Genomic DNA, 27,592 nt, shown 5'->3' with positions numbered 1-27,592 from the left:
ATCCACCTTCCTCGGCCTCCCAAAGGAGTGAGTCACCGTGCCCTGCCACTTTTTAACTTTTTAGCCACCAATTCATATGAGATAGCAAAGAAAAGCTCAACAGTTTTTGAACAGTAACTATGCTGTTTTATATGTGCCATCTCACTTAATTCTAAAAGAACTCTATGAGGTAGGTGTCAACATGATCCCCACTATGCATATGATGGAACTGAGGCACAGAGAGGTTAAATAACTCACTCAAAGTCACACAGCCCTATTTAGCGGCAATGGGATTTGAGCCAGCCCAGGTAGTCTGATATCAGAGCATTTAACCCTGTGTCCCAGAAGACTTACATGATCTCATAGCTAGAGGAAGCATCTAGTTCACTTCCTCCTGGAGCAACACTGTCTTCCATATCCCAGCCTCAGCCTAACACCTAGCAAAGCTTTTCCTTATTTTTCTTATTTTGACCTAAAACTGTCTCAAAACTGGTCAGAGTTCTTCCTTCTAGAACTACTTGGAAGTTGAGTCTCTCTTCCACATGAAACCCTCTCCAATTTTTAAAAAATCAAAACCAGTGTTTTTAATTTAGAAAAGTAATGTATGTTCATGGTCTTTAAAAATTCAAGCAATATAAAAAGGATAAACTGGAAAGTAAAAATATTTCTTCCACCCCATCCAATCCCTGTCCTCAGAAGTAACCACTATAATTACTCTTGAATCCTCCCAGAAGTTTTTTAATACTATAAAACATATGCACATTTTTTTTATTTTTTTACTCAAATAGGGTCATGTTATGCATACTGGTGGCAACTTACCTTTTTTCACTTAACAAGGTGTCCTGGATGTCTTTCCATAGCGGCATTCCTATACATAGCTACATGAAAACATTAACATTTATTCAACCTGCCTATCATCCATACTTTTTTTCTAATACAAGCAATACTTCAGTGAAATTGTACATAGCATAGGTTCCTACAAATGAAATTCCTGGATAGAGGGTAAGCGCACTTTTGAGAGAGAGGACCAAATGACCCTAAAAAAATTGTAGTAGTTCTGGCCGGGCTCGGTGGCTCACGCCTATAATCCCAGCACTTTGAGAAGCCGAGGCGGGCAGATCACGAGGTCAGGAGATCAAGACCATCCTGGCTAACATGGTGAAACCCTGTTTCTCCTAAAAATACAAAAAATTAGCAGGGCGTGGTGGCGGGCGCCTGTAGTCCCAGCTACTCGGGAGGCTGAGGCAGGAGAATGGCGTGAACCCGGGAGGCGGAGCTTGCAGTGAGTTGAGATCGCACCGCTCCACTCCAGCCTAGGCGACAGAGCAAGACTCCATCTCAAAAAAAAAAAAAAAAAAAAAAAAAAACAAAACAAAACTGTAGTAGTTCAAACTCAAACAGGCTGAAGAAAACATTTAAAAATTAAAAAAAAAAATTGGAACTTGTAGTGATGGCACAGTGGCTCACCACCTGTAATCCAGCTACTTGGAGACTGGGGCAGGAAGGTTGCTTGAGCCCCAAGGAGGTCGAGGCTGCAGTGAGCCTTGATCACACCACTGCACTCCAGCCTGGGTGACAAAGCAAGACCCTGTCTCAAAAAAAAAGTAAATTTAAAAAATTCAAAATCCCCACATTATTAACTGTGGTTTTCAGTCTTTAATAAAATAGTAGAATGAAACATTAAGGGGCTGGGTGTGGAGGCTCTCGCCTGTAATCCCAGCACTTTGGGAGGCCAAGGATGGAGGATCACTTGAGCCTAGGAGTTCAAGACCACCCTGGGCAACATGGTGAAACCCTATCTCTAGAAAAGACCAAAAAAAAAAAAAAAAAAAGTAGCCTGGCGTGGTGACATGTGCCTGTAATCCCGGCTACTCGGGAGGATCGCTTGAGCCCCAGAGTTCAAGGTTGCAGTGAGCAGAGATCATGCCACTGCACTCCATCCTGGGCGACAGTGAGATCCTGTCTCAAAAAAAAAGAAGAGAAGAAGAAAGAGAAAGAGGAGGAGGAGGGGAAAGGAGGGGTAGGGGAGGAGGAGGGAGAGGAGGAGTAAAGAAGAAAAGAAAGAAGAAAAACGTTATAGGAATTTACACCCAAATCAACCAACAGCCCATTTTCCCAGGTTTGTCAATATGGCTTTTTATCAAACTGTTAACTTTTCCTTCCACGTTTGAAGACAGCTCTTCATTCATATATTCATTTACACATTATTTCAAACCATATTGACTACGCGTCTTCTCCTCAGGTGCTGAGGAGCTGGGTTTGCTCTGATCCGGGAGTTTCCAGCCCTGACTGACTTATCCTCCCGCTCATCAGAAGAGCTTATGAAAATTCCCGGTGGCTGCCTCGAGGGGCTGGTTCGGTGGGCCTTGGAGGGGCCCGGCAAGCTGTTTAGTTGTTTGTTTCATTCATTTTTGTTTTTGTTTACCAGCTTCCCACGTGATTTAGCTATTTGATAAGAAGCCAAAGGTAGAGCAAATCTTCCCTCTCCTTTCTCTGGGTAAAATCGCCTTCTGGAAATGAAGGCGCTGGGAACGGCTAGAACCCACTACTGGGAAGTGAAGGAAGAGGGATCTGGTGCTCGAGACCTCTCCTGGTAACGCCGAAATCCACTGCTGCTCCCGAGTCCTCCAAGCAACAGCCCGGGCTCAGGATTCCCAACTACAAACGCGCCCCAGCCCATTCCTGCTGGCTAATGAAAGCGTTGGCCTCTCCGGACACACAGGATTCGAAACAGATCAGCTGCCTTCAACCACTAATCAGCTCCTGACTTAAGACATTCCTCCGGGGGACGGAGGGTCAAGAGCATGCGCAGAAGCCAGCTGTCCCGAAGGCGCCCCCAGCGGTTAACAGGCCTCAGCGAAACTGGAAAGTTCGGCTTCCCTCGGCCACACTCGGCCTCCAGCCCCGCCTCTCGGCCCGCCTTTTCCTCCCGGCCCTGCGTTGGTGGGCGCGCCGCGGGCTCTAAAAGCTCGACTGTCGGCCGGGCGCTGTGGCGCACGCCTGTAATCCCAGCACTTTGGGAGGGCAAGGTGGGTGGATCAAAGTTCGCGACCAGCCTGACCAACATGGTGAAACTACGTCTCTACTAAATTAGCCAGGCGTAGTGGCTCATGCCTATAATCCGAGCTACTTGGGAGGCTGAGACAGGAGACTCGCTTGTACCCGGCAGGCGGAGGTTGCAGTGAGCCAAGATTGCGCCATTGCACTCCAGCCTCGGCAACAAGAGCGAAACTCCGTCTCAAAAAAAAAAAAAGCTCAACTGTGGGCCTGCGACCTTCACGCGCCAGCGCTGGAGAGGTGCCAGGCTCCCTGGGGCCGAGACCGGGGCAGAGGACGACACTTCGTCTGGCCGCCTAGCCTCGGCCTCTAAGCTTCCTGCATCTTCTTCATCGTAGGTGATGTTGGACGTGACAGAGGAGGTGACAGGTCACCCTGAGTGCGGGACTCCGTGTCCAGAAGGAAGTGGGCCTCCAGGTGCCACGCCTTTGCTTCTGCTGTGGCATCTGATGAGTTCCCTGTTCATCTCTCCAGGCATTCCCAGGGCAGTCAGCCCTGATGCCCAGGGGCTAGGCTTGCAAGACCGCGCATTAGGTTCGCAGAGCTAGAGTGCAAGGCCAGACCTGGTACCAACAGCATCTCCGCCTTCGTCCTCATCTGGTTCCCGCCTCAAACCTGTACCTGTGCGGAGGAGCCTGGAAGGTGCGTGCTGTGAAAGTAAATGAATGAATGAGGCTCCTGGGGGATGGCGGGCGCGTGTTTGCCCCTATAGGGCTGCTACAATGGAAAGAGCATTTGCTAGTTGGATTCATGGGTTCCAGTTCTGGTTCCATTCATCATTGCTGCTTAATAAGTTCCTCCTCCCATCTGGGTCCTAACTTCTTGTTTCTTTGTTTGTTTGTTTATTGGTTTTGTTTTTTTCAGACGGAGTTTCGCTTTTGTTGCCCAGGCTGGAGTGCAATGGCGCGTTCTCAGCTCACTGCAACCTCCGCCTCCCTGGCTGAAGCAATTCTCCTGCCTCAGCCTCCCGAGTAGCTGGGACTACAGGCATGCGCCACTACGCCCGGCTAATTTTGTATTTTTAGTGGAGACGGGATTTCTCCATGTTGGCCAGGCTGGTCTCGAACTCCCGACCTCAGGTGATCTGCCCACCTCAGCCTCCCAAAGTTCTGTGATTACAGGCGTGAGCCACTGCGCCTAGCCGGTTCTAACTTTTAACATGTAAAAGGAGAGTTGAACTCTGATAAATATATATTAAAGGCCAACAAGGAGCCCAGCATTAAATATTGGGGATACAGGTGAGCAAAACGGACAGCCCTGATCCCCAGAACATATGGTGTGGAGTAGGAGGCAGATAGTCAACAGTCACGTGGACGTAATTACACGTGTACTTTTTTTTTTCTTTTTTTTTCTTTTTTTCAGACAGTCTAGCTCTGTCGCCAGGCTGGAGTGCAGTGGCGCGATCTCGGCCCACTGCAACCTCTGCCTCTTGGGTTTAAGCGATTCTCCTGCCTCAGCCTCCCAAGTAGCTGGGACTACAGGCATGCGCCGTCACGCCCCGCTAATTTTTGTATTTAGTAGAGATGGGGTTTCACCATGTTGGCCAGCCTGGTCTGGAACTCCTGACCTCAAGTGACCTGCCCACCTTGGCCTCCCAAAGTGGTCTCACTGTTGCCCAGACTGGAGTGCAGTAGCATGGTCATAGCAAGTGCAAAGGTCTGGAGCATGAAACACACACATTTCTTGAATTGGACATTATAAACAGTCTCAAAAGCATACAAGTCAGAGGTGTGGAAGCTTCAGCAAGTTAAATTGAGAAGGCCTTGGAGAATTCTTTGAAAGCCCATAAGTATTTGAGCAATCCTATAAACATATGTGAAGACCTCTGACCCTGTTTTCTGATGGAAATGTCCAGATTATTGATCTGACCAGAACAGTCCAGGTTCCATGATGCATGCAGTGGTGTCTGTGATCTGACTGAGAGACATCTGGCTCTATTTCAGAAGAACTAAAACTATAGTTCCAGCTACTTCAGAGGCTAAGGTGGGAAGATGGCTTGAATCCAGGAGGTCGAGGCTGCAGTGAGCTGTGATCTCACCACTGCACTGATCTCACCACTGCACTCCAGCCTGGGCAACAAAGCAAAACCCTGTCTCAAAAAATAAAGTAAAATGAAAGAATTCAAAATAATTATGCAGCAAAATGTTTACTGTATTTCTATAAATTCAAATAAAACATGCCAAATCCTTTGTCCCTCCCATAATTTCAATGAGTATGTACAGAAAATTCTTAGGGAACAATGTGAGCCAGGTAATTGTTGATCTGGTTGAGTAGCACTTTAGAGATAACTTTTATGTGTTCTCCCATTCAGGACTTCACCATGTCAGAAGAACTCAATTAGCCCTCTTAATATAAAGAAACTGGCCGGGCATGGTGGCTCACGTTGGCCCAACAAAACCTTTGGGAGGCTGAAACAGGCAAATAACTTGAGCCCAGGAGTTCAAGATCGGCCTGGGCAACCTGGCGAAACCTCGTCTCTACAAAAAATACAAAAAAATTAGCCGGGCATGGTGGCATGCACCTGTAATCTAAACTACTTGGGAGGCTGAGATGGGAGGATTGCTTGAGCCTGGGAGATGGAGGTTGCAGTGAGCCGAAATTGTGCCACTGCACTCCAGCCTGGGTGACAGAGCAAGACTCTGTCTCAAAACAATTTTAAACAAAACAACGAACTTGCTCAGAGAGGTTGAGTACCTTCGTAAGTTCATACAGCTATGGCAGGGTAAAAGTTAGGCCTGGCACTTCAGTTGTCTCAACCCAGCATTTCTTCTACCGTGTCACGGAGTCCTCTCCACACACGTACTTTTGTAAGATACAGTGACCAGCACTTAATGTTTTTCTCTGTCATTTTACAGGCCACTTTTCTCTCATCTTTGTAAGCAAGCCTGGATAATTCAACTTGAGATAAACATGGGCTGCTTTAAAGCTTTACAGCACTTGCATTTTTAGTTCTTCTGAAACAGAGCCAGATGTCTCTCAAAGTCAGATCACAGACACCACTGCATGCATCATGGAACCTGGACTGTTCTGGTCAGATCAATAATCTGGACATTATAATTTTTTCATTTTTTTTGTAGAGACGGGGGTCTCACTTTGTTGACCAGGCTGGTCTGGAACTCCTGGGCTCAAGTGATCAGCCTGCCTGGGCCTCCCAAAGTGCTGGGATTACAGGCTTCAGCCACTGCACCTAATTCTTTCATTTTAATTAGAGTGTTTATCTCTTCCAAAAGGTGGTTTTAAAATTTCACATGTGGTTCTCTCCTTATTTTCAGTTGAGAAGAAGCAAAAAAAAAAAAAAATTAGAAAGTAAAACGATTGGCAGGAGCTTTGGATATTTTTACTTATCCCATTGTGCAACACATTCAGTGACAATACAGGCTTATGAAGTTGTTCAGATGGTTTGTCTATGAGCATGTCTGTTCCTACAGTTCTCCAGAACATGAGAGCCCTTCATGCCTAATCTTGGCTTCCTGCTGATAGACTTTTAAAGGGGTGTGAGTTGGCCAGCCATGGACCTGGGTACGCTTCCAGTGGCCACAGATGTGAACACAATGCTGAGAGCAATGGAAATGTAAGCAAAGTAACATGTATGCTTGGTGAACAATCAGAAGTATGAAATACGAGAAACCAAACCTGCCTGATTGATAAGAATGGGGGGCCGGGTGCAGCGGCTCACGCTTGTAATCCCAGCACTTTGGGAGGCTGAGGCAGGCGGATCATGAGGTCAGGAGTTCAAGACCAGCCTGACCAATATGGTGAAACCCTGTCTCTACTGAAAATAAAAAATTAGCCAGGTGTGGTGGCGCACACCTGTAATCCCAGCTACTTAGGAGGCTGAGGCAGGAAAATTGCTTGGAGGCGGAGGCTGCAGTGAGCCGAGATCGCGCCACTGCACTCAGGCCTGGGAGACAGAGTGAGACTCTGTCTCAAAAAAACAAAACAAAAAACAAACAGAAAAAATGGGGGGTAGGGGGTTTGAGGAGCACAAGGCTTGGACCTACTAGACCTGGAGATTTGGGGAACGAGGGATGCCAGCCATGTTCCTTGTACTGTATGCAAAAGGGAAGTAACAAGTATTGAATGTTCACTTACCTCTTTCATTCCCCAATATGAAATAGATATTCCCATTTGCAAAAAAAAAAAAACAAAAAACAAAAAACAAAAAAAAAGAAGGCTCAGGAGAACTAGAAAGCAGATGAAACAAAGAGGACTTCATTCAGTACCAGATGAATTTAGTATTTCTATGTATGTATGTGGGTCTCCTAATTTGATTTTCAAATTGTTCTTTAGAAAGATTTTTAGCTATATTAAGATTTCTTAAAAAGCTGGGCCATGCCAGGCAGGGTGGCTCATGCCTACAGTCCCAGCCACTCAGGAGGCTGAGGCGGGAGGATCACTTAGCCCAAGAAAGGCTGCAGTGAGCTATGACCATGCCACTGCACTCCAGCCTGGGCAACAGTGAGACCCTGTCTCAAATAAATTGAAAAAAAAAAAATGCTGGACCAAGAGTATAATTTCAGGCATCAATTCTGTAGTTCCTTACTAGAGAAGTTTCTCTTAACATGTACAACACTGGAAACCATGAGGAGGTGGCAGCACAGCATTCTCTGCTGAGCGTGAGGTTGGCTCTTGGTGTTGCTTTGCTGCAACTGTCATTTGCCATTGATGATGGTTCTTCTCTTCCTCCGAGGGAGAGAATGCAGTCTGAGTGGGGGAAAAAGCCTGGGCCATGGACTTATAGACTGTTAACATTGGAGTCTTGCTAGTGAACATTTTAGCTATGATTGGATTGTTTGGATAGCTGAGTTTGATATTTACAATATCCCTAGCTTACCACTTAATGTCTGCTCTTCTAGATGCTGTCCTTTTCCCGTATCTTGTTAGTATTCTCTTTAACCCATTTTTCAGCTAAGTGAAGTGTTAGTATTCCCTCCTCTGACACTTGTTCACTCAGCACAAAGAATTCCTACTGTTACCTCTCCAGAACCCTACGGTCATTATAGTTGAGGAAGCTGATGCAGGTGGGAGAAAGGACCAGACGCATGGACCATGCTGTTAAGGGAACAGGGACAGAGTGGGTTTTAATCTGGTTCACCCATCCACTTACTAGTTTGTAACCTGAGAGCTTCCACTTCCCCATCCCCAACATGGGGACATACTGTCATGGGACTGTTGTGAAGAATGACATGCCACACAGATGAGCAGTCCTAGCTAATGTTAGCTGTTAATGGGTGAAGGAAAAGCAGGCACTTAACATGTGGATATAGGCTATCCCTTATCTTTGTCTTGTGACACCATCCTCACTAGTTCACAATTGCCCTTTCGTACAGGCTAAGCATCCCTTATCCGAAATGCTTGGAACCATTTGTGTTTCAGATTTCTACTTTTTTCCAGACTTCGGAATATTTGTATATACTTAAGGTTTTTATGTATACTTTATGATCTTAGATAATTTTAGACAGGGTCCTGCTCTGTCACCCAGTCTTGAGTGTAATGATACAAACACGGCTCACTGAAGCCACAGGTACATGCCACCACACTGCACTAATTTAAAACAAAATTTCTTGTAGAGGCTGGGATAGGTTTAAGCAATCCTCCTGCCTCAGCCTCCCAAAGTGCAGGAATCGCAGGCATGAACCACCATGCCTGGCCTATGGTTTTAATATACAGGTTGGGCATTCCTTACCTGAAAATCCAAAACGTTCCAATGAGCATTTCCTTTGCGTGTCACGTTTACGTTTTGGGTTTTGGGTAAGGGATGCTCAAGCCATGTATTAAAAACACAAAACTAGCCAGGCATGGTGGCTCATACTTGCAATCTCCCAGCACTTCGGGAGGTCAAGGCGTGCAGATCACTTAACACCAGGAGATTGAGGTTTTCCTACAAAAAATTAGCCAGGCATGGTGGCATGCCTGTAGTCCCAGCTACTTGAGGGTGGCTGAGGTGGGATGACCGATTTGAGCCTGGGAGTTTGAAGCTGCAGTAAGCCATGGCTGCACCACTGCACTCCAGCCTGGGCCACAGCAAAAGAACCCCTCTCAAAAAACTTAAAACATAAAACTCTAATACTGACACCTACATACTCCTACCCATTGTCAACTCCACCTTGCTCAAGGTCCTAAATTGTTCACTATCCCGTCTTTGGTATTTATTACTCTTAGCAGATGCATATATTTAATGTCTTTTTTGAGCTTATGAGAAGCCCCAAGTGTTGCTTTGAACATTCCCAGGCATGTATCCTATGTCCACATGTAGTTTCTCTTGAGTAATGCCTCAAAGTAGAACTGCCATTTTCCCCAAGTAGTTGTAGTAACTTACACAAATGGTCTTTTTCACATTGACACGAGGAGTCCCGGCTAGAAGTCACGCTTTTCATCACTGAATGTCTTCATCTACTAAATGCTAATGGAGGTAAGGATAAGACTCATTCATGTGCCTGGCATGTCATTAGCTGCTCTGAACACACAATACCCACGGTTTATTATATAAATCCAAGCCTGAAAAGTTGAAAATTCCATTCATGGTATTATTAATTGGCAAACAAAAAAAGCTCTTAGTTTTTGGAACACAGGTTTGAATCTTTTTTTTTTTCCACTTTGTGTAACTGGAGACCTTAATAAACTATTAAGTAAACTTTCTGCACTCCTTCAGTGTTACCATAAAACTCCCAAACATTTGGTGAGACATTACATAGCTAAGTCTTGTTTTTTTACAACCTTGGGATGTAGCAGTCAACATTCAGCATACGTCAAAGTTCGTTCTTAGGCAGGGTTGTATAGGGTAAATACCCAGGAGGCTTTCTAAAGCTGGTCTGTATTACCCTCCACCCCCAGTGTAGGGGACACACCTTATAATCATCAAGTTTACACAGGTAACCTGGACAAAGCATCTGCTCTGATCCTTCCTCCTGCCACCCCAGTGCAGTTTTCAACACTGTACCATGAGGTGCCTTCTTGTTAGCATCAGGATTGTCTAAATCTCACATCCGGCAATGGTGGCAGGGAAAATCCAGCCTGTGTCATGGCAGAATAGGCTGAAAGCCAACATTACAAAACAGACCATTTTTGCAGAGCACATTCCAAAACTATGGACAAGACCAACAGCAGTAAAGTTCAGCTTTTTATTGAACATGTTATAAAAGAGGTTTAGTCAAAAAGACCAAAGCCCATGTCATCATCAGACTCCTCGGATTCTTCTTTCTTTGCTTCCACTTTCTTCTCCTCAGCTAGAAAAAAAAAGTCAATCAGGTGTTAGGATTTCCATACTTCATATACTTGTGAAAAATTAATGGCAATTTTGTCTATAATACTATTTTTTAAAAAATCTCTACACTCCTCCCAATACTAAAAACTCCATGTTTCCTACCTGGAGCAGCAGCAGTGGAGGGGGCAGGACCTCCTGCTGGTGCAGCACCAGCTGCTGGAGCAGGTCCACCGGCCCCTACATTGCAGATGAGGCTCCCAATGTTGACGTTGGCCAGGGCCTGCAATACATGTGCATGCATAGGTAAACGCCCAGTTCTGTCCTTGTTAAGCACTCACGCAGCCAAAAACGAAAAGTATCCCCCATTCCAGGTTACAGTGATCAACCCCTAACACTATATACAGTGAGTTCCACATCCATGGATTCAACAGTGGAAAAATAAGCATGTGTACCAAACATGTAGACTTCTAAAGTATACAGGAGGATGTGCATAGGTTATATGCAAATACATTTATATAAGAGATGGAACATCCTGGGATTTTGTTATTAGTGGAAGGTCCTGGAACCAATACCCCAGACACTGGCTTTTCTTTGCTAACAGCCAAGACTTAGGTTACAGGGCAACGCACTACTGTTCAGCTTTGAATCTGATAATTACATTCCTATATGTTAAGAACCTCCTGAGGCAGCTGATTTCCCTCCTTTTACAAATAATATGTTGGTAAAAAAAAAATCCAAACTTCCTGAAACACTCAAATGAATATTCTTTCCACAGTTCCATGTCTCCTCTTAACAGTGAATTCAAATTTTCAGTCTACTAAACAAATATAGGACTTCAAAAGGGGCTTGTTAAATATGACATAGGTACAATGTTTTCAATCTTTCAAAACTCTTTAGAGGTCACAACCCTGGAGTTAGATGCTATTAGCTTCACTTGACAGAGATTAAGTAACCTGTACAATGGAAAATAGCCAGTGCAAGCTCCATGACCAGGAACCTCTTTATTAGTCTTTTATATCCCAACACACAGTACCTACTGTGTCAATGAAGTCCGCTAAACCCAAATGTCCATCAAACCATAGGTTTAATGCAAGAATTTACTGAAAGAATTTGCTTGCGGGCCGGGAGCGGTGGCTCAAGCCTGTAATCTCAGCACTTTGGGAGGCAGAGGCGGGGGGATCACGAGGTCAGGAGATCGAGACCATCCTGGCTAACATGGTGAAACCCCGTCACTACTAAACACACACACAAAAATTAGCCAGGCATGGTGGCGCACGCCTGTAGTCCCAGCTGCTCGGGAGGCTGAGGCAGGATAATGGCGTGAACCCGGGAGGCGGAGCTTGCAGTGAGCTGAGATCGCACCACTGCACTCCAGCCTGGGTGACTCCGTCTCAAGAAAAAAAAAAGAAAAAGAAAAAGAATTTGCTTGCAACTTAACATGCGTAGTACCTATCTCCCGAGTGACCCTTTTTGGGAATAAATGACCTGATTCACATTTTTTTTAACCATGGTTTCAGAGCAAAAGGGAAACCAGAGTCTGATAAGGAAACGTAAGACTTGACAAGCTGAAATCTTATTAGCTCCTAGAGATATACATGCAACGAAAAACACCTAGGAGATCCAGCGGCATGTGGGGCGTTATGGCACCGCTGGGGGTACTTTAGCATGTACAACTGCCCTCGTAAATCAGCAGGCCTTACCACAATCACTTTGCCACCATCACCTTACCTTTGCAAACAAGCCAGGCCAAAAAGGCTCAACATTTACACCGGCTGCTTTAATGAGGGCATTGATCTTATCCTCCTACAACAAATAAAAACGTCAATCCATCAAAACGTAGCGTATGTAATATCTCCAAAATGCTGCACGTCACTCAATAAGTGTACATAACATGTTTAACCAGCTCAAATATTCTATCACAAGCAAAAGAGATGTGTGCCAGGCGCCCTGCAATGAGGCGAGCCCATCACTGCTGTTTCACGGGCTGGGACTTGCCTGAGTCACGCGGCTATTTTTAAGTTACAAGACCTGGGAGGTGGAGCCGAGCTCGGGCGCCTTCCTCCACGACCGGGGGAATTCAAGGCAATTACACCGAAAGAGGTCCGAGTAAGTGTCCCTGAGAGAGACGAGGCACGGGTCAGGGTGCCCAAGCACTGCGGAAGAGCTTTTCTACACGAAGGCTCTTGGAGCCGGAGCGCCCAGCCTCAAGCGCACTCCATGCCCGCTGGGCCCGCACGTGGTCCCGGGGGCCCAGGACCTGCCCGGAGAGAGGCCCCAGCCCCGAGGAGCGCCCGCCCTATGCGGCCTGTGTTCGCGGCCTGGCCCCGGCCGGAAGTGCTCAGTCGAACGGCCTGGAGCCGGGAACCGCATGGAGAGCCGAAAGTCACCGCCCACAGGCAGCCCGGCCGCCGGCCCGCGCCCGCACTCACCGTGACTGTCACCTCATCGTCGTGCAGAATGAGGGCCGAGTAGATGCAGGCGAGCTCGGAGACAGAGGCCATGGCGCGGGCGAGTGTAGGGCTGGCGCTGCCGGACGCGGTGCTAGTCGCCGGATGAAGTGAGGGCCTCACCCCAACGCAGCCTTAGCTTCCTCGGAAGGACCGAGCACCTTGGCGGCAGCTGAGGAAAGGGGCTCTCGCGCCTATACGCAGCCTCTTATGTGTCCACGCGGACCAATCGGCGCCCGCACCGGGCGGAAGAGGCGGACCCAGGACCCACTGAAGGCGCCTGCGCACTGCGCCTGATTGGTTCTTACTGTTGAGAAAGTTTCTCAGCGCCTGCAAATACGGTCCCACTTTATTTGGGTAAATTATAGGACCTGAGAACGTTAAAAACACTTTTAGGTTAGGGTTGCCTAGGTATTCGGACTTCGCCTCCGTTGGTTCCATGAGTTGCTTGACTTGGCAGGAGCTCCGCTGTGGCCCTGGTGACATTGTTCGTAATCTCCTGGTTAGGTCGCGGCCTTCCCAGCCGGCGCTGACCCTGAGAGTAAGGGCTGCGTCCCAGCTTGGAGGCCCCTGCTTAGCGCAGGACCTTGGTTGAGATAGGTAGATGTAGGAGGATGAGAGAAACTAACAGCGTTATGCTAGCAGAAGCCGTAGAGCGCTTACTATGTCCCAGGCACTGAGCCACATTCTGCAAGGATTCACGTAATCCTCACACACCAGGAGTTGGATGTTATCTCCATCTTGCATATGGCAAAATTAAGTCTTAGAGCTGGTAAACTAGCCCAAGATTATGTAGTTACCGCGCAGTGGAGCGTGGATTTGGAATCTAGAAGCCTAACTTAGACCCGGTAGCTAACTCAAGATTGCATAGTTCCGCGCGGTGGAGCGTGGAGTTGGAATCCAGAAGCCTAACTTAGACCTGGTAACTAACCGAAGATTGCATAGTGCCGCGCGGTGAGCGTGGAGGTGGAATCCAGAAGTCTAACTTCACTGCCTAGTGCTTGGGGGAAGGAGGGATTATGGGTAAGCTGTCTACAACCCGTTATTTGTTATCTAAACCCAATTTAAATTCCTACCTTCAAAAATGGTCATCTTTGCATTCCTCGTGGAATTTGCTTAGTTTACCGGAAAGTTAGTTCTATGTATATATATCTTTTTTTTTGGTGGGGGGGGGGCACCTTCTTTGTTTAGTCCATCCCATTATTTAATAATCATCTCTGAAGAAACATTTCTGTTGGAATCCACCGATCTAGAGTCCCACTTGGGTCAATCTTAACTACAAACATAAATATTTTCACATCCGGAATTTTTTAAAAAAGCATTTATAAAGCTATCAAACTTTTAAAAAATAAAGCTGTTGAGTTTTCATCCAAATCTAAGCAGCCATTATAGTGGAATTTTGGTCAAGAAAGGTTAAAGCTATTAAAAAATCCAAACATTTCCAAAGCTACAATGAGTCAGTCCAAAATACTGTTTGTCCAGCAGTGTACATAAAAAACTGATCTGCCGGGTGCGGTGGCTCACGCCTGCAATCCCAACCCTTTGGGAGGCTGAGGCGGGTGGATAGCCTGAGGTCAGCAGTTCGAGACCAGCCTGGCCAACATAGTGAAACCTTGTCTCTATTAAAAATACAAAAAATTTAGCTGGGCGTGGTGGCGGGCACCTGTAATCCCAGCTACTAGGGCGGCTGAAGCAGGAGAATCGCTTGAACCCAGGAGGCGGAGGTTGCATTGCGCTGAGATTGTGCCATTGCACTCCGGCTTGGGCAACAAGAGCAAAACTCCCTCTCAAAAAAACAAAACTGATCTGGTTGACAAGTGGCACTTTGTGGTCATTGAGGAAATAATCTTCTTCTCCATCTATATATTATAGATAATACTTTTTACAGGGTATCAAACAGTAAGCACTAACCACAGCTATTCAAGAGAAGTAGTTAAGCAAAACATCAGTACTCATGCATTTCCTTTTGTGTTGATGAAGGACTTAGTGGATTCAACAGTTACTTCAGACAAATTCCACTGCCCCATATTCTCCTATCGTAGTAAAAATTTCCTATTAATATTTTGAAAATACTATGCAATAAGCCATTAAAAAAAATTTTTTTTTTCTGAGACGGAGTTTCACTCTTGTTCCCCAGGCTGGAGTGCAATGGCACGATCTCGGCTCACTGCAACTTCCACCTCCCAGGTTCAAGCGATTCTCCTGCCACAGCCTCCAGAGTAACTGAGATTATAGGCGTGTGCCACCATGCCCAGCTAATTTTTTGTATTTTTAGTAGAAACAGGGTTTCACCATGTTGGCCAGGCTGGTCTCGAACTCCTAACCTCAGGTGATTCACCCACCTTGGCCTCCCAAAGTGCTGGGATTACAGGGGTGAACCACTGTGCCCGGCTAAATTTTTTTTTTTTAAGTGGGCTGGGGCAGGTCATGGTGGCTCATGCCTGTAATCCAAACACTTTTGGGAGGCCAAGGCGGGAGGATCGCTTGAGCCCAGGAGTTCAAGACCAGCCTGGGGCAACATAGTGAGACCCAGTCTCTATTAATTTTTTGTTTGTTTGTTTTTGAGACAGGGTCTCACTCCATTGCCCAGGCTGGGGCACAGTGGTGCCATCACAACTCACTGCAACCACTGCCTCCCTGCAACCACTGCCTCCCAGGCTCAGGCAATCCTCCCACCTCAGCCTCCCCAGTAGGTGGGACTACAGGTGCGTGCCACCACACCTGGCTAATTTTTAAACTTTTTGTAGGGATGGGATTTCACCATGTTGCTCAGGCTGGTCTTGAACTCCTGACCTCAAGCCATCCTGTTTCAGCCTCTCAAAGTACTGGGATTACAGTTGTGAGCCACCATGCCCGGGCTGTCTCTATTATTTTAAATAATAATTTAAAAAGCAGGCTGGGTGCTGTGGCTCATGCCTGTAATTCTAGCACTTTGGGAGGCCAAGTCGGGAGGATTGCTTGAGGCCAGGAGTTTGAGACCAGACAAGGCCACAGAGCAAGGCCCCATCTCTACAAAAAATAAAAAATTAGCCAGGTGTGCTGGCATTTGCCTGTAGTTGCAGCTACTCAAGAGGCTGAGGTGAGAGGATTGCTTGAGCCTGGGAGGTTGAGACTACAGTGAGCTGTGATCATGTCATTGCACTCCATTTTGGGTGACAGAATGAGACCCCATCTCAAAAAAGAAAGAAAAAAGCCAGCCTAGGCAACATAGCAAGACACCAGCTCTACAAAAATATTTTTAAAAATTTAATTAGCTGGGCATGGTGGTGAGCACCTGTAGTCCCAGCTTCTTGGGAGGCTGAGGCAGGAGGATCACATGAATCCAGGAGTTTGAGGTTATAGTGAGCCATGATTGCACCACTGCATTTCAGCCTGGGCAACAGAGCAAGACCCTGTTTCTAAAAAAAAAACTTTAAGAAGAAAATCAAGAAATAAATTCTGTATCTACTGCAATAGCAATTTAACCTTTAGTGTCCTGAAGCGTTCTAAAAACACACATATAGGCCAGGTGCAGTGGCTCACGCCTGTAATCCCAGTACTTTGGGAAGCTGAGGAGGGCGGATCACCTGAGGAGTTCAAGACCAGCCTGACCAACATGGAGAAACCCCGTCTCTACTAAAAATACAAAATTAGCTGGGCCTGGTGGCTCATGCTTTTAATCCCAGCTACTGGGGAGGCTGAGGCAGGAGAATCGCTTGAACCCAGGAGGCGGAGGTTGCGGTGAGCCGAGATTGCGCCATTGCACTCAAGCCTGGGCAAGAGTGAAAATCCATCCCTCCCCTCAAAAACACACACACACACACATATATGACATTGTTTACTACTATACTGTGAGTGACTAGTGCATTTTGTCTTCTCCCTTAACTTTTGAGTTGGCTTTTGGCAAGGACTGATATCACACTTTTATTATTAATAACAAAAGATTAAACTATCATTTTAGTTAAAAAAAAAAAAAAGTGGCCGGGCACAGTGGCTCACACCTGTAATCCCAGCACTATGGGAGGCCGAGGCAGGTGGCTGAGGTTGGGAGTTCAAAACCAGTCTGACCAACATTAAGAAACCATCTCTACTAAAAATACAAAATTAGCTGGGCGTAGTGGCGCATGCCTGTAATCCCAGCTACTCGGAGGCTAAGGCAGAGGAATTGCCTGAACCCAGGAGACAGAGTTTGCGGTGAGCCAAAATCGTGCCATTGCACTCCAGCCTAGGCAACAAGAGCGAAACTCATCTCAAAAAAAAAAAAAGCTCAGCCTCAAAAGAAATCCAAATTAAATCCAAGTAAAATGTGTGTTCACCCATGCAATGGGATATTTCACCATGGTTTCGACAGTATTTTTTCTAATTTATGTTGTCCCCAAACTATGCTTTTTGTTTAAATGTCTAGAAGTCATACTTAATATGTAGATAATTATGGTTGTCACATAAAAAAAGGCATTGTCCGTTTAACATCATATTATCTTGTATTTTTTAGAGCTTTCTTTTAATTCATCCCGCAAACAATGAGTGCCAGGTAAATGCAGGGCACTGTGCCAGGTGCTGGGAGGACGTGTTGAATGAACAGCCATCACACAACTATGTATTTCTTAGTGCTTTTGATTTTAATTCTTTTGGCATATCTAAATGTCAGAAAGTGAATATATACATACAGAATTCAAAACACCTTCCTAAAATGGTTATTATTGGCCAGTCATTTACATCTTTATTTTGAAAGTCTGAATTGTCAAATAGTTCTAAAGTGCATTCTTGCAGCTAATAAATAGCAGCATTTGTTTATAAAACCTTAAGAAATTCAGACCAGGGCTGGAGAAGTCACAATAAAAAATCAGACATGATCTAGATATAGTCTTCCTTAATCATCTAAGACAAACACTTGTGTGAATTAGTTTATAAGTATACATGAAATATATTTTAAAAAAACATTATAAAAAATTCATACAGTGATGAAAAAAGGAGTCTTCCTCTGCTATTAATATTAAATATGGCAAAACATATACTATACAAGGTTTGTTGAATACTAGTTGTCTTTGGAACCATAGGGAAAGCTTTGCTCTGGGTCAGTGTATGATGTAGCTGAGGTCCGTGATTTTCAACAAAGCTGGAGTTCTACAAGATGACCTGGAAGACTGCTTCTGGCATGGCTTTCGAGAAATCATCCACACAAATGAAAATGTTCTTTCAGTACTGGGACTGTCAGTTCATGGCTTTTTGCGCCTAAAACATAACAACCAGCACTTAGAGTTGAACTTTGCAATTAGTAACACATTCATAGCAAATCAATCTTTAGGAGGCCTTTGAGAACTGCTGTTTTATGATGAGATAATTCAAGTCCCTCTGAGAAAGCAAACAACTTTTATAAAATATGCTTATCTTAGTATTAAATTTAGAAAGGATTTCCCATCTTTATCCTGCTGCAACAATTTTCTAAATTGCTCAGTAAGGTATGTAAATGTTTAAAATGTTATATACATATAACATTTTATATACATATATGTATATAACATGTGATATACATATATGTATGTATTTGTAAAGAAGGGATTTTATTAAAATATGGAAAAAGACTGGGTCAGACTCCTGAGTATAAGTTTAACAGAAGAAGAAAAGGTATGATTCCTTCCCTACTATAAATTCTTTCATTCAGTGTTATTTATTTTAGTGAACACCTATTGCTACACCAAGACCAAGAAGCAAGTCAGGAAACAATGATTTACACAAAGCTGTCTAGTCTCCAACTTAAGCCTTTAGCCTTCCCTCCTTAGAGGTACTCTCAGTTCAGCCTCAGAAAGCTTTATGAGCGTTGGCAGAATATGAACATGAGCCACCAATCTTCCACCACCGCCTGCCTTGCAGCTCTGATTGCTCTTATCCAGCCTTCTGAGGCTCTCAGCATTCCAGCTGCCTACTGCAGTCTGCCCATGGAGGCCCAGATAGTCCAAGGGGAAAACCAAAACCATATATTTCTTCTGAAGAATAAGTGGATGGCTGGTAGAAGGAGTGATAATGTAAAGACCAGAGGAGGAAAAAAGCACACAGCAAGACCCCAATTACAGTCAGTACTCACTTGGGTTGTGCGTGATGCTGATATCCAGGTCCCAGCTGGGATCCTGCTCTCATCTCCACAGCCACAGAACACTGAGAGGAAAATGACAAGAGGAAAAAGATCAGCTCCTCTCAATAGTCTATAAAACACAGTTATTTAGCAGGCTCCACACCTAGGTGAAATGCAATATTGCTTTCTAGTTCAGCAAAGACTCTTACGTTAAAACACCAGTCACTCGTAATTTATTTCTGGCACAGGCCACAAATGTTGTGAGCCAGAAAGGTCTTTAGGTCATCCAGGTAACTTATCTCATTTTAGATAAGTTTGCAAAGAGAGTTGGTGGCTAAGGCCATAGCTTAGCCTCCTGACCCCTACCTTCCCATGTTCTTTCCAAGAGATTCTCCTCAGGAATAACACTTGCAAGGGAGTTCCTGATGAAGTGGATTCTTGTTATTCTAGGAATAGGCCTACATGGTGCACTGGCAATGTGAGATTATACCTCAGCATTTTCAAAGAGCATAAAAATCTAGAGCTGTGGGGTTTAAAACATGACAAACCTAATTTTAGTAGGCAGACAAATATTTAATTTTTCCCCTACCCTTGTTTCTACATCGGTCCATTCAGACTCTGCACCATCTGGTTGGGCAGGTGCTACTGTGGAAGATCTTCGTTTTCGACTACTGAAAAAGGGGAAACATGATGCAACAATTATTTTTCCATCTAAGAAGAGGAAAAATATTAGAAGTAGGGGAATACTATCTACATCCCTTTGGAGAATTAATGATACATTTCACAGGCTATTCTGTTCCTCCAAAATGAGCAGCTAAGAAAATGACCAACTTTTATACAGAGATTTTTGATGGTTACTTACCCATTTGGTGATTCTTGCTTTAAAGTCTCAATATCAGTAAACTGAACAGATTGTCCACCACCCCTTGTTTTATAAATATCACCCTAAAGCCAAAAGAAAAGGTCACTGTTACACATTGATACACCCAAACGAAAAACACACATATATATTTCAAACTGTTCTCATGATTCTATTTTATAGAAATTCCCATCCACAAAATCAGATGGTACTTGGTACTTGCTGAGTACGTACTATCAAAATAATTTAGAAATTTGAGTACATATCTCTCACAAATAAAAGAAGTCCAATTCAATGTAATCAGTAACATTCATAATTGCAGAAAAAAATATTCCTTTTGCTCCATCTGTAATTTAAAAACTAAACTGCACTAAGGATCAAGAAATTTGCTGGAAGTTTCTACACGCTCTAAGGCATGGTACTTTCTTCTCTGAGTGCCCCCTGTTGCCCATATTCAAATGACAGTATAGTCTTATTTGTAGCTAATTATAATAAGAACAAAAACTCTAAATTGAAATTGAAATAAAAAGCTTTTTTTTTTTTTGGTCTTATCTTTTACTTTCCTGATTATTCACTGACCCTATGATCAAAGGGGAATTCTTCTATAGTCAGGCAAGTCTCTTTCTGGAAAACGGCTTTAGGCAGCTCAATACTGAGTAATTTTGACGGGTCAAATTTTAACATAGGTTTCGTTTTGTTTTGTTTTTGTTTTTTTATCTTGAACTGATGGAGAGCAATAGGAATTCTTTGCTTAGATTACTTTAAGTAGTGGTTAAAACTAAATATACAGTCATTAAAAAATTAAAGTACATCATGGATCTAGAATTCTAAGAAACCGAAGAATCTATACCTATTTAAAGCATACTTAGTCCCAGTTTGGCAGACTTAAAACCTAAGCAGTGACTAATTTTCTGCTAACAAAAAGGTTATATCAAATACCTACTGATGTTCCAGTTGACACTACCTGTGTGTCACCAAAGGAGTAGCAGGACAAATGGACTTTTGTTGAATTTTTAAATATATTTTTTTCTCCTGTGAAAATTAGTTTTTTACCTTAATTAGTTTAGTTTCAATCTCCCCATCGGAGGCTAGTTCCTGGTGGGTCAGCATGTACTTCTCACACTTAGCTAGTGCCTTTTCATTTGCAACAGATACTGTGATGGCATGAGGGACATGTGGCTGCATGACTGTTTCAGTTTGCATGTTAGAGGCGGGCTTATGATCTACCCATCTGTCTCCTGCAGAGCGTGATCGTCTGTGTCGGAGACGAATTGGTGGTGCGTTCTGATCAGGTTGAAAGAGTAACTGAGAAACAAGCATAACCCAGAATTAATTTAAGGGTATTATTAGAAGTGCAGCAGGTTTGGCTACATTAGTTGATGACAGTATCATAGCAAACCTTTCCAAAGCTAAATATTTTATTCAAGTAATTTAAACATGATCTTTGCATTTAAACACAAAACCAACAAACATCTTTAACACCAACTTGTATGTTACACATTCTATCTGGGAGTTTCCCTTTCAATAAAGGATAAAAGAAAAAATTCTGGTAATGCTGCAAGTCTTTCCTGCTTGGGGGTGGTTCAGGACAAACAACTCATTTCATATTCTTGATCAAAAACCAATATTTATCCCTGCTATTGAGAGGTAATCTATTATGTCCACAACTCTGTTAAAATCTTCAATAAGATCAATGAAAGCCCTACACATTTTCTAGGCTTCTAAACAAAACAGAAAACAATCCTAAGAACATAGGTATAATAAGAACCATATGAATAAAATGATTAAAGAAATGTGAAATACTTCTGAGTGCTTTCAGTTAAGATTTTAAAATCTCATAATAGAACTTCATGAAAAGTTCAAATACAGTAATGGCTACAATATACCAACTAATTTTTCCCCCAAACATTTCATACAGGTTCCAAGAAACAAATAAATAATACAGTGTCAAATCAGTCTCTATCACACAATAAAAGACTAGTTGCTAGGCCAGGCATGGTGGTACATGCCTGTAATCAGCACTTTGGAAGGCCGAGGTGGAGGAATCACTTGAACTCAGAAGTTCAAGTTCAGCCTAGGCAACATGGTGAAACCCAGACTCAACAAAAACAAAACAAAACAAAACAAACAAAAATATATATATATATATTAGCTGGGCTTGGTGACACGTGCCTGTAGTCCCAGCTACTCAGGAGGTTGAGGTGGGAGGATTGCTTGAGCCCAGGAGGTGGAAATTGCAGTGAGCCAAGATCGCACCACTGCACTCCAGCCTGGGCAATAGAATGAGACCCTGCCTCAAAAACAAACAAGTTGCTTCCAGTCAAATGTCATGTAAACCTGGGAATGCTAAATTAAGCACATTCAGCCTAAGAAAATAATATGTCACATATATGCCATAGTTATAGTTTGAAGCAATGAATTATCTTTAGAATTTTATGAACATCTCCTGTTTGTAAAACTGAAAGCAGGGCTGGGTGCAGTGGCTCATACCTGTTATCCCAACATTTGTGAGGCTGAGGTGGGAGAAGGATCACCCGAGACCAGCTTAGGCAATGTAAGAAGACCCCATCTTTACAAAAAATTTAAAAATTAGCCAGGTGCGATAGCACATGCCTGTGGTCCCAGCTACTCAGGAGGCTGAGGTAGAACGATCACTTGAGCCTGGAAGGTCAAGGCTGCAGTGAGCCTAGATGACACCACTGCACTCCAGCCTGGGCAACAGATCAAGACCTCATCTCAAAAAAAAAAAAAAAAAAAAAAAAAAAAAACCCAAAAAACAAAACTGAAAGCAAATGGAAAAAGTCTATCACAGGCCAAATCTGTCAAAGCTAGTCAAGTATGAAGACCTCAATTTCAAAATGCACATCTGAGGAACTGAATCATTTTCGCTATATAGTTAACAAGAAACAAATGCAGCACTAGTGACAGCTCTAAGACATGGGCAATACAGTTTGCCACTAAAGATGCTGAGCCTCAAGACAAACAGGAACTTTCCATTCCTACAATGATTTATTTAATGTTGAACACGAAAGAAAGTCTGGTCCTTATCATCTACCATTTAGCAAAAACAAAGGTTTTCTTCAAACATTTAACAATAAGCATATGATGAAACACACTTCAGAAAGATGATAATCCATACAATCTACTAGCATTTATGAAACAAATATTTAAATTTTTTCCTCACTGAAGTATAAATTCAGTCCACCTGACATAATTTTTGACCAACAAACTTAGATGCACAGATACTAACCTTACAGTAACTTTTCTGCTGCACTTCTAAAGAGATTTTGATTTCACGTAAGAATCTCTAGTAAATTCCCTTAAATATCTCATAGCCAAATTAGATATCTCATTACGGTTTGCAAGGCATACGCAAGCCTTGAATAGTTTTCAGCCTATAAACTTTCATAAAATGACTGACTAGAGTTGGTCAGAATGACCATTTACCTAATTTGCTGTCTAAAAATGTTTAAGGAAAAATCTGCAAAGTAAAGAACTTAAGAGACTTTAGAATCATCTGTTTCCCTGGTAAATAACTTGGGATTCATCACCATCCCTTAATAATCAGGAATTCAGGCCACATAAATGAACATTCATCTATACCCTGACTTATATAAGAAAATCTAAAGTAAATGTTTACTGTAAGATTTAGAAGAAATATTCTAAGAGAGCTTTGTGAAGATTTTACTAAATATAAAATTCGCAAACATTAACTTGGTCCATTTATTCAGATTCAAAAGAAACTTTACCTTAATCTTTAAGAAGAAAAATATGAAAGTGAATTTATTTAAATACCCTTGAATGAGGCAAATGTAAATTGAGATAAATGCCTCAAGATTAAAAGCAATTTATTGGGCATGGAAATCAGTAATTTTAAAATAACTGGCCTAAACTCTTCAATGAAAATAGTCAATGTCATAAAAATAAAAAAAGTAGGGGGACAGGGTGAGACTATTTTATATTAAAAGAGATGAAAGACATAATCATGATATGCAATGCATACACTTTCATAGTATCATGGATTGAAAAAAAAGCTGGCTGGTGCAGTGGCTTGCCTGTAATCTCAGCACCTTTGGAGGCCAAGGCAGGAGGATTGCTGGAGTTCAAGAGTTCAATACCAGCCTGGGCAACATGGTGAGACCTTGTCTCTACTGAAAATAAAAAATTAGCATGGTGGCCTGCCCGTAATCTCAGCTACTTGGGAGGCTGAGGTGAGAGGATCACTTCAGCTCAGGAAGACTGAGGCTGCAGTGAGCCATAATCATGCCACTGCACTCCATCCTGGGTGACAGAGTGAGACTCTGTCTTTAAAAAAAAAAAAAGAAAAGCCAATCCAATTTTGGGACAACTGCACAATGTCTCAATAGAGGATAATTAATTAATGTTGATTTTCTTGGATGTGATAAAGATTGTGGCTAGGTAGTACAATGTCCTTATTCTTAGAGATTAAGTGTCTCTAAGTCTGTGATTTCCTTTCACAAGGCTTAGGGGAAAAAGGTTTACATATCTATATCAAGTAACAATTGGTAAACTTAGGCAAGGAGGGAAAGACATTACCATACTATTCTTTCTACTTTGCTTTGGGTCTGAAATTTTTCAAAATAAAAATTTGGGAAAACAATTTTTAAAACTAGGGCATGAAAGGAGGTATAAAAAATCTAATTTGGGGAAGGGGAACCAAAAGAAAAATATGGAAAGTATGCTTTAAGACACATTCACCAATTCTGTGCAAAGCTTATTAGCGTATGCAGCTGAAAAGCTCAGACTACTCTGGGATGCACCAAACTGACCTGTGTTCACTGAACACACTTCCGCTGCCAGATGTGTTTAGGCTTTTTCAGATGAGGAGCCAGGCCTCAATTTCCGTAAGTCAATCTTTCAAATTAACTGAGAAATTAGACCTTCTTTATACTATAGCCCAACCATTTTTCCAATGAACTTTCAGACACAAGTTACAAAAAACAAAGAAGATAAAATCTATTGCTACAATGCGTTAAAATAATACTGGCACTAACCCTGCCGCAATGATCCTCTTCTATTTCTATCTCATTTCTGAATGTAGGAACCACCTCCCTGCCTTCAGTCCAGTACATCCCTCGCCTTCTGTCTGACACGATACAAGTTTTGCTTTGTCCTGGCTCCTGCTGCCTACGCCTTGCAATAGATGTGACTTTGAGAGGTGTGTTGTACGTAGGAATTTTCTGCTCCCATTCCGAAATACAGGAAGCTACAGAAATGCTGCTGCAAGAGTTAGAGCGCCTATGTAGCTGTGGCTGGCTCATGAGTTGCTGGCCGTTGGAAATCTGAGCAATATAGTTACTAGAAAGCTAGAAAAATTGGAGAAAAATTAATGAGCAAGACTGAAAAACTGAGAGAAACAATTCATTACTTTTCTATAATGTTAGCACATGAAGACTTAACATTACAAATAATTATTTGTTCTATTTTTTTGTGCTAAATTTGTGTTTATTCTAAATTTTAAAATATTTTTAGAGAAATTTCAGAAATGTAAGTATTATAAAATGTAAAAATCCTCATAGAAATAGTCATCTAATCTGAACAAAATTTCTCTAGTACAAAGTTACTACACAATTACAAATAACTTACAGGCACAGGTGATGGAGAAACAGATCTTTGAGTAACTTTTTCTCGATCTCGCTCCCGAGAGGGTCTCTCTGGCTTCTCAGTTTTAGGTTCGGTAACAATAGCCTTCAGTTGTTTCAGCTTTTCATCTTTAACCCAGAGTTTATTCTGCATCTCCAGCTGTTTGGCTGCCACTCTACGCTCCTACAGATTATCAGTGGCAATGTATATTATCATTCCATCACAGCAAACGAGTACACCAGATTACCCAATCTCTTTATTTCCTAAAAATGACAGTTCTCCAATTCTTCCTGAGAGTTAACAACCACCACCAAAACCCTACCGCAAATACAATAATTCAAAATATCGAACCTAACTACAATGTAAAATAAATCATCCGACTCTGAGACAAGCACTACCCAAACGATACTCACACATTCTTTCTCCCACTTCATTGTCGTTTCTGTCACCATGCCTTGCAACCTGGCTTCTAATCTGCGTTTGTCAGAAAACTGTCGCTGAAGTTTCTGGTTCTGAGTTTCAAGTTCCTGTTGCAAATTGCGTTTATCTTCCTCATAGATAGTAGTTGTTTTCTCTAAAATCTCAATCTAGGAAGGTAGACCACTATGTTCAATATTTGGTATATAAACATTTCATGTCGCTATAAAATAGTCTTCCTTAATTTGCTTATGCAAGCATATTTGTGGAAAGAAACATCATGGAGAAAGCACTTTTTTCTCTAACATTTCATCTGAATTCCCACCCCCATTCTCAGAAATGAAAACATGTTAAACAAGCTCCTCACCCAAAGACATTTACAACTAACTTCATGTGAAAATTACTTTCTCCTAAAATTAAGGGCTAAAATTTAGTTTTTAGGCTATTTTCAGAATTTAAAAAAACTATATTGGTTGAGACTAACTTCTCTTATGAATGTGTACCCCCACCAAACCTCTAAATGACCCTCTGTAAATGAGAGAACAGACATACATTACACAGTGCTGCAATGCTTCCCAACAAAACGGTATTTCCTTCTACCCCATTGTAAGAGATTAATCCTGAGTTTATACTTTTACAATCGATTTGTAAACCAAATACAGATCCAATTAAGCTTTACTGAGTATCTGTTACGTCCAAGGCCCGATGCTGGCACTTTTATACCATTTCATTTAATCATTTATCTCATTAAAAAAAAAAAGCATACTAAGGAAATATTTCTAATAAATTCAAAAGCAAGCTACAACCAAAGCTAAGCTCTAGAAAGCTCCCTTGTTTGGGTCAGAGAACATCCTTTTCAACTGTTAAAACTCTCATAAAATTAAAGAACATATGATTCTTCATTTCACTCACATTTCCTCCTTAGCATGGGATGAGGATTAGTAAACAACCAATTGAGAACTTTTTTTTTTTTTTTGAGACAGGCTCTCGCTCTGTCACCTAGGCTGGAGTGCAGTCGTGCAATCCCAGCTCACTGCAGCCTCAACCTCCCAGGCTCAAGCTGTTCTCCCATCTCAGCCTTCCGAGTAGCTGGGACTACAGACATGTACCACCATGCCTGGCTAATTTTTTTTGTAGATATGGGGTTTCGCCACGTTGCCCGGTCTGGTCTGGAACTCCTGGGCTCAAGTGATCTCCCTGCCTTGGCCTCCCAATGTGCTGAGACTACAGGCATGAGCCCCCGCACTCAGCCTGAGAACTCTTTTTTTTTTTGAGACAGAGTCTTGCTCTTGTCGCCCAGGCTGGAGTGCAGTGGCTCAATCTCGGCTCACTGCAACCTCCACCTCCCCAGTTCAAGCGATTCTCCTGCCTCAGCCTCCTGAGTAGCTGGGATTACAGGCACTCGCCACCACGCCCAGCTAACTTTTGTACTTTTTTAGTAGAGATGGGCTTTTGCCATGTTGGCCAGGCTCGTTCTTGAACTCCTGACCTCAGATGATCTGGCCACCTCAGCCTCCCAAAGTGTTGGAATTACCTGCATGAGCCACCGCACTCAACCGAGAACTCTTAATAAGCAGCATTTACAGGCCGTTGGAGCACAATATCTCCCTCAGAGAACAGTGCTAAAACACCAGCACATACATCTATCATAATAATGTCAAAACAAACCTTATATTCTAAAGTTTTGTTTTTCTTTTCCAGTCGTTCTATTTCCAATTTCTGTCCTGAGATCATCTTCTCCTTTTCATTTAGTTTCCCTTGCATGTGGTTTTCTTTACTTAAAACAGCATTGTCAAATTCTTGTAACAAAGCTTTAAAAGCATTAGCTGAAACAAAAACATACAGGTCAAGTTTTACACCAGTTCTAAAACAAACAATGATATCAACTTTTGCTAGCAGACACTAGATAAAATGTAGTTATTCAGCAAATCTCTGTGAGAATCAGTCTATAATGAGAAAACAAGTTTAGAGGGAAA

General features: G+C 42.9%; 2 protein-coding genes, 1 long non-coding RNA gene and 1 other non-coding gene across 25 annotated transcripts in view, besides 8 other annotated features; 2 read left to right on the top strand and 2 right to left on the bottom strand.

Moving 5' to 3' along the window:
• Window positions 2,388–2,895: an enhancer, noted in NCBI's record as "H3K27ac-H3K4me1 hESC enhancer chr15:69755134-69755641 (GRCh37/hg19 assembly coordinates)". NCBI's record gives its function as "activates a minimal SCP1, AML or CMV promoter by ChIP-STARR-seq in primed H9 embryonic stem cells {active_cell/tissue: H9 hESC(primed)}" and the evidence as "EXISTENCE:reporter gene assay evidence [ECO:0000049][PMID:30033119]".
• Window positions 2,388–3,402: a biological region, named in NCBI's record as "H3K27ac-H3K4me1 hESC enhancers GRCh37_chr15:69754627-69755133 and GRCh37_chr15:69755134-69755641".
• Window positions 2,666–2,960: an enhancer, noted in NCBI's record as "tiled region #2; HepG2 Activating DNase unmatched - State 1:Tss, and K562 Activating non-DNase unmatched - State 1:Tss". NCBI's record gives its function as "activates a minimal TATA promoter and a strong SV40 promoter by Sharpr-MPRA in HepG2 and K562 cells {active_cell/tissue: HepG2 | K562}" and the evidence as "EXISTENCE:reporter gene assay evidence [ECO:0000049][PMID:27701403]".
• Window positions 2,888–9,670, top strand: LINC02896 (long intergenic non-protein coding RNA 2896). 4 transcript variants are annotated; one of them, XR_932421.3, is made up of 3 exons: window positions 2,888–3,008; window positions 3,375–3,678; window positions 4,980–5,225. It is a non-coding gene; the product is annotated as a long intergenic non-protein coding RNA 2896 (long non-coding RNA). The 4 variants fall into 4 exon arrangements; XR_932422.2 differs by having other exon boundaries at window positions 2,893–3,008; window positions 3,901–5,225; XR_932420.2 differs by lacking the exon at window positions 4,980–5,225 and adding an exon at window positions 5,892–9,670 and having other exon boundaries at window positions 2,914–3,008.
• Window positions 2,896–3,402: an enhancer, noted in NCBI's record as "H3K27ac-H3K4me1 hESC enhancer chr15:69754627-69755133 (GRCh37/hg19 assembly coordinates)". NCBI's record gives its function as "activates a minimal SCP1, AML or CMV promoter by ChIP-STARR-seq in primed H9 embryonic stem cells {active_cell/tissue: H9 hESC(primed)}" and the evidence as "EXISTENCE:reporter gene assay evidence [ECO:0000049][PMID:30033119]".
• On the top strand, window positions 7,541–7,749 carry LOC124903594 (small nucleolar RNA U3). Its single transcript, XR_007064815.1, has one exon. It is a non-coding gene; the product is annotated as a small nucleolar RNA U3 (small nucleolar RNA).
• On the bottom strand, window positions 9,485–12,872 carry RPLP1 (ribosomal protein lateral stalk subunit P1). Of its 2 annotated transcripts, NM_001003.3 has the most exons (4): window positions 12,670–12,872; window positions 11,969–12,043; window positions 10,403–10,520; window positions 9,485–10,262 (listed from the first exon to the last, which is right to left on the bottom strand). In NM_001003.3, the coding sequence occupies exons 1-4, from the start codon at window positions 12,739–12,741 to the stop codon at window positions 10,183–10,185; spliced, it is 345 nt and encodes a 114-aa protein (NP_000994.1). In that variant the 5' UTR covers window positions 12,742–12,872; the 3' UTR covers window positions 9,485–10,182. The 2 variants fall into 2 exon arrangements, with proteins under 2 accessions (NP_000994.1, NP_998890.1); NM_213725.2 differs by lacking the exon at window positions 11,969–12,043.
• Window positions 12,327–12,436: an enhancer, noted in NCBI's record as "active region_9656". NCBI's record gives its function as "activates an Ori minimal core promoter by ATAC-STARR-seq in GM12878 lymphoblastoid cells {active_cell/tissue: GM12878}" and the evidence as "EXISTENCE:reporter gene assay evidence [ECO:0000049][PMID:35858748]".
• Window positions 12,517–12,566: a silencer, noted in NCBI's record as "silent region_6600". NCBI's record gives its function as "represses an Ori minimal core promoter by ATAC-STARR-seq in GM12878 lymphoblastoid cells {active_cell/tissue: GM12878}" and the evidence as "EXISTENCE:reporter gene assay evidence [ECO:0000049][PMID:35858748]".
• Window positions 12,587–12,836: an enhancer, noted in NCBI's record as "active region_9655". NCBI's record gives its function as "activates an Ori minimal core promoter by ATAC-STARR-seq in GM12878 lymphoblastoid cells {active_cell/tissue: GM12878}" and the evidence as "EXISTENCE:reporter gene assay evidence [ECO:0000049][PMID:35858748]".
• Window positions 13,117–13,166: an enhancer, noted in NCBI's record as "active region_9654". NCBI's record gives its function as "activates an Ori minimal core promoter by ATAC-STARR-seq in GM12878 lymphoblastoid cells {active_cell/tissue: GM12878}" and the evidence as "EXISTENCE:reporter gene assay evidence [ECO:0000049][PMID:35858748]".
• The window catches only part of KIF23 (kinesin family member 23), a 34,079-nt gene continuing 23,749 nt past the window's right edge, over window positions 17,263–27,592 (bottom strand). For 5 of the 18 annotated variants that reach the window (NR_160295.2, NM_138555.4, XM_047433369.1 and 2 more), the window contains 9 exons: window positions 27,285–27,442; window positions 25,613–25,786; window positions 25,203–25,382; window positions 24,611–24,922; window positions 20,649–20,900; window positions 19,599–19,681; window positions 19,326–19,407; window positions 18,749–18,819; window positions 17,263–17,898 (listed from right to left, as the gene is read on the bottom strand). Coding sequence is in view for 16 of the 18 variants with exons in the window: in NM_138555.4 (NP_612565.1) it covers window positions 17,883–17,898; window positions 18,749–18,819; window positions 19,326–19,407; window positions 19,599–19,681; window positions 20,649–20,900; window positions 24,611–24,922; window positions 25,203–25,382; window positions 25,613–25,786; window positions 27,285–27,442 (1,328 nt within the window). In the remaining 2 variants the exon portion in view is untranslated. The remainder of the gene's footprint in view (window positions 17,899–18,748; window positions 18,820–19,325; window positions 19,408–19,598; window positions 19,682–20,648; window positions 20,901–24,610; window positions 24,923–25,202; window positions 25,383–25,612; window positions 25,787–27,284; window positions 27,443–27,592) is intronic. The other 13 variants (NR_160296.2, XM_005254799.4, NM_004856.7 and 10 more) reach the window with 5 other exon arrangements.

Source organism: Homo sapiens, chromosome 15, assembly GCF_000001405.40.
Source record: "Homo sapiens chromosome 15, GRCh38.p14 Primary Assembly".
NCBI classification, from domain to species: domain Eukaryota; kingdom Metazoa; phylum Chordata; class Mammalia; order Primates; family Hominidae; genus Homo; species Homo sapiens.
Note: the sequence above shows the minus strand (reverse complement) of the source record. Positions and strands in the feature narration are given on the sequence as shown.

Coding starts and splice junctions, on each gene's coding strand:
- RPLP1 (NM_001003.3), bottom strand. CDS start 12,741: ATGGCCTCTGTCTCCGAGCTCGCCTGCATCTACTCGGCCCTCATTCTG. Junction 10,521..11,968: donor GGCCTGGCTTGTTTGCAAAG/GTAAGGTGATGG, acceptor CATGTATTGCAG/GCCCTGGCCAACGTCAACAT. Junction 10,263..10,402: donor CTCCACTGCTGCTGCTCCAG/GTAGGAAACATG, acceptor TTTTTTTTCTAG/CTGAGGAGAAGAAAGTGGAA.